Source organism: Homo sapiens, chromosome 1 (genome assembly GCF_000001405.40).
Source record: "Homo sapiens chromosome 1, GRCh38.p14 Primary Assembly".
Classification (NCBI taxonomy): Eukaryota; Metazoa; Chordata; class Mammalia; order Primates; family Hominidae; genus Homo; species Homo sapiens.
In genome coordinates this window covers 5,348,208-5,354,130 of record NC_000001.11, presented here as the reverse complement: position 1 = coordinate 5,354,130, position 5,923 = coordinate 5,348,208, and the positions used below count along the sequence as shown (strand labels likewise).

The 5,923-nt window shown below is 46.0% G+C and overlaps 1 annotated feature.

The window, feature by feature from the left end:
* Nucleotides 4,432–5,631: an enhancer, noted in NCBI's record as "CDK7 strongly-dependent group 2 enhancer chr1:5408560-5409759 (GRCh37/hg19 assembly coordinates)". NCBI's record gives its function as "activates an origin of replication core promoter dependent on BRD2, BRD4, P300/CBP, MED14 and CDK7 cofactors, with strong dependence on CDK7, by STARR-seq in HCT116 cells {active_cell/tissue: HCT116}" and the evidence as "EXISTENCE:reporter gene assay evidence [ECO:0000049][PMID:35650434]".

Below are 5,923 nucleotides of genomic sequence, written 5' to 3'. Positions count from 1 at the left end.
TAGTCACTAAAACATAACTTAAAAAAAGATATAGCTAAAACATAACACAGTAAATAAAATGAGATTTTGGAAAATGTGATTCACTCAAAAAGAGAAAGAGGGAGGCAAACTAATAACAAATAGGGTAAATAAAAGCAAAATGCCAAAATTGTAGTGTTAAACCCAATCTTACCAAAATATTACTGCAAGTAAATAGACTAAACACATTATTAAAACACATTGAGTATCAAACTGGATATAAAAGCAAGACCCACCCATATGCTGCTTACCAGAAACAATTAAAATACTAAGACATAAAAGGCTGAAAGTCAAAAGGATAGAAAATGATATACTATGCAAACCTTAAGCATAACCAGCCAGTATGGCATTAATATCAGAAAAAGTGAACTTCCCTAAAGGTGGCACCACTAGGGTTAAAGAGGTGCAAAACACAATGATAATTACAGAGTTTGTCAAAAACAAAGAACAATCCTAAATGAGTATGCAGCTAACAACAAAACTTCAAAATGTATGAAGCAATGTAGACAGAACTAAAGGTATAAGTAGACAAATTCACAATAATAGAAATACTAAAACCAGTCTTTCAGTAACTAACAGAACAAATAGAGAAACAATTAGCAAATACATAAGATTTAAACAATACTTTCAACCAACTTAATTGATAGGCAAAGACCTCAATTAAAAGTGAGAAGACTTGAACAAATACTTCATCAAAGAAAATAGATATGAAAAGTTAGTCAGTGCCATCAGTAATTAGGAAAATCCAAATTAAAACTACAATGATAATCCCAGCTACAGAGATGGGGGCTGAGGCAAGAGAATCACTTGAACCTGGGAGGTGGAGGTTGCAGTGAGCCGAGTGCCACTGCACTCCAGTCTGGGTGACAGAGCGAGACTCTGTCTCAAAACAACAAAAAACAAAAACAAAAACAAACAAACAAAAACTACCATGACACAATGTTTCACACATACTAGAACGATTACAGTTAGAACACCAAACATTGGCAAGAATTTGGAGTAACTGGAGCTCTCCTTTCCAAGTGAGTCCCTAGAGAAATTGAGGTACAGATAACCCAGATGGTGGGAATGGTCCCTAAACAGGTTGTCCTTCCCCAGCCCTTAGTGGGTCTCACCACAGTGACTCCGCCTTGTGTCTTCTGGCTTCTCTGAGTGAACTGGGCTCCAGCTCTGCTGAACAGAGAATGGCCCCAACTCAACCCCTTTCTGAAAATGTCCTTGTGAATTTGCTCAACTCCTTCCTGTCATGGTGGAAAAGTTGAGGCTTCTCTTTTCCGAGACTGACCTCTCCGCTTCTGTCCCTGATCTCAGCCCCTGGTCATCTGCCTAGATAAATATTGCCTCTTTCTGCAATATTTTCTCTCTCTTTTCACAGACTTTCTGGTTCCTTCTCCTCTATCTACAGATGGGCTTGATTCTCCCTTGGTTCCATTGCTTCACTCTGTTCTGATGCATTCTGTTCCCCCTGCCAAGTGTGTTCGCGTGTTGGTCTATTCTTGCTTCCTCCACTTCTTCACCACCTAGTCCTCCTATTGATGGTCCTTTTGCCTCCTAGAACTGATCACAGAACACCAGTGAATTTGCTCCACTACCACCTTTCCAGTGTATGAAGAAGTTAACACTCCCGACTTCTGTGCCCATCTTGAAACTTGGTTTCTGAAACATTATATTCTCTGTCTTCATTTTTCCTGCCCCCTATGGCAGACACTGACACAGCTAACACAGCATTAACTTCCTTCTTCTTTATGACCCAAGCAGAAATAGGAGAATCTCATTTTCCAGCCTTCTTCAATACTACAGAAAGTGGCCAGGTGACATGGTGCTCACCAGTGAGCATGCATCAGAGTCCTCTGGGGACACTCCTGATAATGCAGACAAATGCTGCACCCCATCCCCTCATTTTCACCTTGGGTGCAGGTGTGATCACCTTGAGACCACAGAATGACAAGGCGTCACAGAAATATCAGGCCTGACCTCACTGAGATGTTGAATCAAGACCAGCCGCTCCCAAACTCCAGATTCTTGTTTTATGGAAACAAAGAAAGTACCTAATTTTTATTTTTTAACATTTATTTATTTATTTATTAAGAGACAGAGTCTTGCTCTGTCACCCAGGCTGGAGTGTAGTGGCAGCTCACTGTAACCTCTGCCTCCCGGGTTCAAGCGATTCTTGTGCCTCAGTCTCCTGAGTAGCTGGGATTACAGGTGCCCACCACCATGCCTGGCTAATTTTTGTATTTTTAGTAGAGGTGGAGTTTCACCATGTTGGCCAGGCTGGTCTCAAACTGCTGACCTCAGGTGATCCACCTGCATTGGCCTCCCAAAGTTCTGGGATTACAGGTGTGAGCCACAGTGCCTTGCCACCCAATTTTTACATTTTTTTTTCATTAAGTGCAGCCAAAAGCATTCCTCGTGAACAGACTTCCTTCTGTATGTTTTAAATAAGAAAGGATTCCAAGACTCACTCTGGTGCCTGTCTCCTCCATCTACTCACATGTCTTCCTCTCTGCCAGGTGAGGGCGACCTTGAATCTGGGTCTCACATCCTAGCTCTTGACTGAGCTCCTGTCCTGAATGTCCTCCTGTCTTCCAGAAAGCCTCCTCGATGCACGCCCAGCCAAGGTGCCAACATGTTAGCAACTGAACTTCTCATTTCTATGTACAAACCCTTCTCTTTCTCATTTATTTATTTGTTCTTTTCCTCATTTTTTTCTCCTTCCTGATAATATCTCCATCTCCTCTCACTCAGGAACAAAAGCTGGACATCCCTGTGTGTGCCCCCATCCTGTAAGCTAACACATTGGTTCTGAGTTCTGTAGATTCTGACAATTCCTCTCTCATCTCAACATCTCCTCTGTTCATGTCCTTGGCACATGGGATTACCTCTTGTGACCTCTCCTTGGACCATTTAGTGGTCTCTCCACCTGCAGCCTCTCTCCGTTTTAAGCCCCCAGATCTATCATTTTGAAGCATAGCTCTAACCTCATGACATTAACTTCCTCAGGCTGTGTGTTAGTCTGTTTTCATGCTGTGGATAAAGACATACCTGAGACTGGGCGATTTGCAAAAGAAAGAGGTTTAATGGACTTACGGTTCCATGAGGTTGGGGAAGCCTCATAATCATGGCAGAAGGCAAGGAAGAGCAAGTCACATTGAACATGGATGGCAGCAGGCAAAGAGAGAGCTTGTGCAGGGAAATTCCCCCTTATAAAACCATCAGATCTCATGAGACTTATCCACTATCATGAGAACAATACGGGAAAGACCCACCCCTATGATTCAATTACCTCTCATGAGGTTCCTCCCACGAACCATGACATGTGGGAATTGTGTGAGTTACAATTTGAAATGAGATTTGGGTGGGGACACGGCCAAACCATATCAGGCTGCAATGACATAAACAGACCCTTCTCTATAAGAAAAAGCCCCAAATCTCAAATCTGACCTTTAAGCCACCCCTCCCCCTCCACCTTCTCCTTCAAATGACAGGATCTGATGTTCAGAAGTCTTTGGCTATGTACCAGGCCCTTCATCAACTGTGTTTCTTTGCATTTGCACAGATGAGAAATTGAGTTGCAGAAATCTTAGGCAACCTGGACAACTGACAGGTGGCAGGGCTGGGCTGTGAACCGGGCATCAGAAGCCAAATCTCTAGCCCTTAGCCCCATGGCTTCTCCTTCAGCCACACATATCCCTCTCTCCTCTGCTCCTGGCCTCTTCCCACCTTCCCGGCTCTTCAGGTTTAATTCTTTCCCTTGTGTGGTGCCCTCCTCCCTTGGCCTGTGTGCCCAGATCTCATTCAATCTTCAGTAAGGAATTCAAATATCTACCTTTCTCCCAAACTTTCCTTGAGCTGTCTATAGAAGCACTGGCCCTTCCACTGACCTCTGAAAACCCCAGACGGGGGAGTTGGACTCTGGTCCCTTCCTCACTGATCTCCAGTATGCAAGTTCCTGAGGGGACTGCTAGCATCTCAGGGACTTCTGGGGCTGCAGAGTCACTGACACACTGTAGGTGGTCAACAGTGATGCTTGCAGCCTGCAGCAGCCTTGGATCCTGGTTGATGGTTGTAGAAACAGACAGGGCTCATGCAATATCCTGGAAGACAGGAGGACATTCAGGACAGGAGCTCAGGAAATAGCCAGGATGTGAGACCCAGACTTCATGGCCCATGATGGGGATGAGTGTCAGGTTACGGAGATTGAGAAGTGCGCCTAGAAGTGCTTTTCCTGGGGATGGTGAATGTTTGCTTGCATGCCATGTCTTCCCAGCATCAGGGGCTTTCAGTGGGGATCAGACTAGAGCAGAACATAATTTTCATTATGCTTTTCAGCAACCAGCCAGCAAATGAGATGACACTTTGACAGGCAGCACTCTGGGGCTCCAGCGACTTCGGTGCCAGCTGGGCCCTCCATAATAAGGCAGAAATGGCAGCGATAAGCCGTGCAGTCAGTAAACAACCACAGCTCTCTCCTAGTGGTGACTCTTGCTGGGGACTGACAGCAAGGATGGGATGAGCTTCCACACCCTGGACTTCCTGTCCCCAGCCCCTCATCCTGCTTCTTGCACATGACAGATGCTTGCTAAGTATTTTTGTTGCCTCTGTCTGTGTGACCATTGTCATGCTTTCCACCTGTTGCTGGTGCCATGGAGTCTGTGAGCTTCCTGAATGGAGCCTGAGAATGTCCTCAGAGGACCAGGGAGTGGGAGGAGGTAATGATGAGAGAAGATGCTGCCAGGGAAACAGATTTGTTGTTCAGGAATAAATGTGTGAAGTTGCTGCCAGTGGCTGTGGAGGGCGGGGGCTAAAAACTGAGAGCTTGTCAAAAGGAGTGGGGGGTCACCCTGCCAGCTTCGGGAGGGAGGCCTGGGCTCCTGACCCATGAGAAGAGAGGACACGGGGAACAGAAGTTTCCTTTTGGCATCTGAGAACAGGAGGTCCTTCCAGCAGCCCTAGAAATTCCAGTCTGTTCCATTTTATTCAACCCACAGGACAAGAGTAGATGTGTCCCTGAAGTGTCCCAGGCTCTGGGTGGGGCAGTCCAACGAAGACGACAAGCAGACCCTCTGCCAAGGAACTCACACCTTACTGAGGAAGGAAGTGACGTCAACACGGTGGAGGAAGTGACATCAACATGGTGGAGGAAGTGACGTCAATATGACGCATGGGGAGGGGTGGTGGTGGTGACGTCAACATGCCGGAGGAAATGGCATCAACACAGTGCTGGCGAGGCTTGGTTCTGGGGCACGCAGTGTGTGTGCAGGGACTTAACCCAGCTTGGAGTGTGTAAGAGTTTTCTGGGGTTGCCATAACAAAGGACTACAAACTGGGTGGCTTAAAACAATGGGAATTTGGCCGGGCATGGTGTCTCTCGCCTGGTAATCCCAGCACTTTGGGAAGCCGAGGTGGGAAGATCACAGGTCAAGAGTTCGAGACCAGCCTGGCCAACATGGTGAAACCCCGTTTCTACTAAAAATACAAAAATTAGCTGGGTGGGGTGGCACATGCCTGTAATCCCAGCTACTTGGGAGACTGAGGCAGGAGAATTGCTTGAACCCGGGAGGTGGAGGTTGCAGTGAGCTGAGATCACGCCTTTGCACTCCAGCCTGGGTGACAGAGCAAGACTCAAAAAACAAGGGTGCGAGGAGCTAATGTCCCTTTTTAGTATGCCTGCTGCTTCCCTCTTTGCCTGCTATTGAACTATTCATCTATAACATTTGTAGGCCTATTAAGAGGGAAATACAATTTCATAGCTACAGATAAGAGATTAGACAGATCAATTTGAAGTCTGTGGAATAGACTGGGGCAGGGGGAGAACAATTTCCAAATTATGATCTTGCTGACTTTGGGGCTGTTGGTTTATTGGATTGCAGCCTGTCTCCCGAGTGCATCGGGTATTATTTTT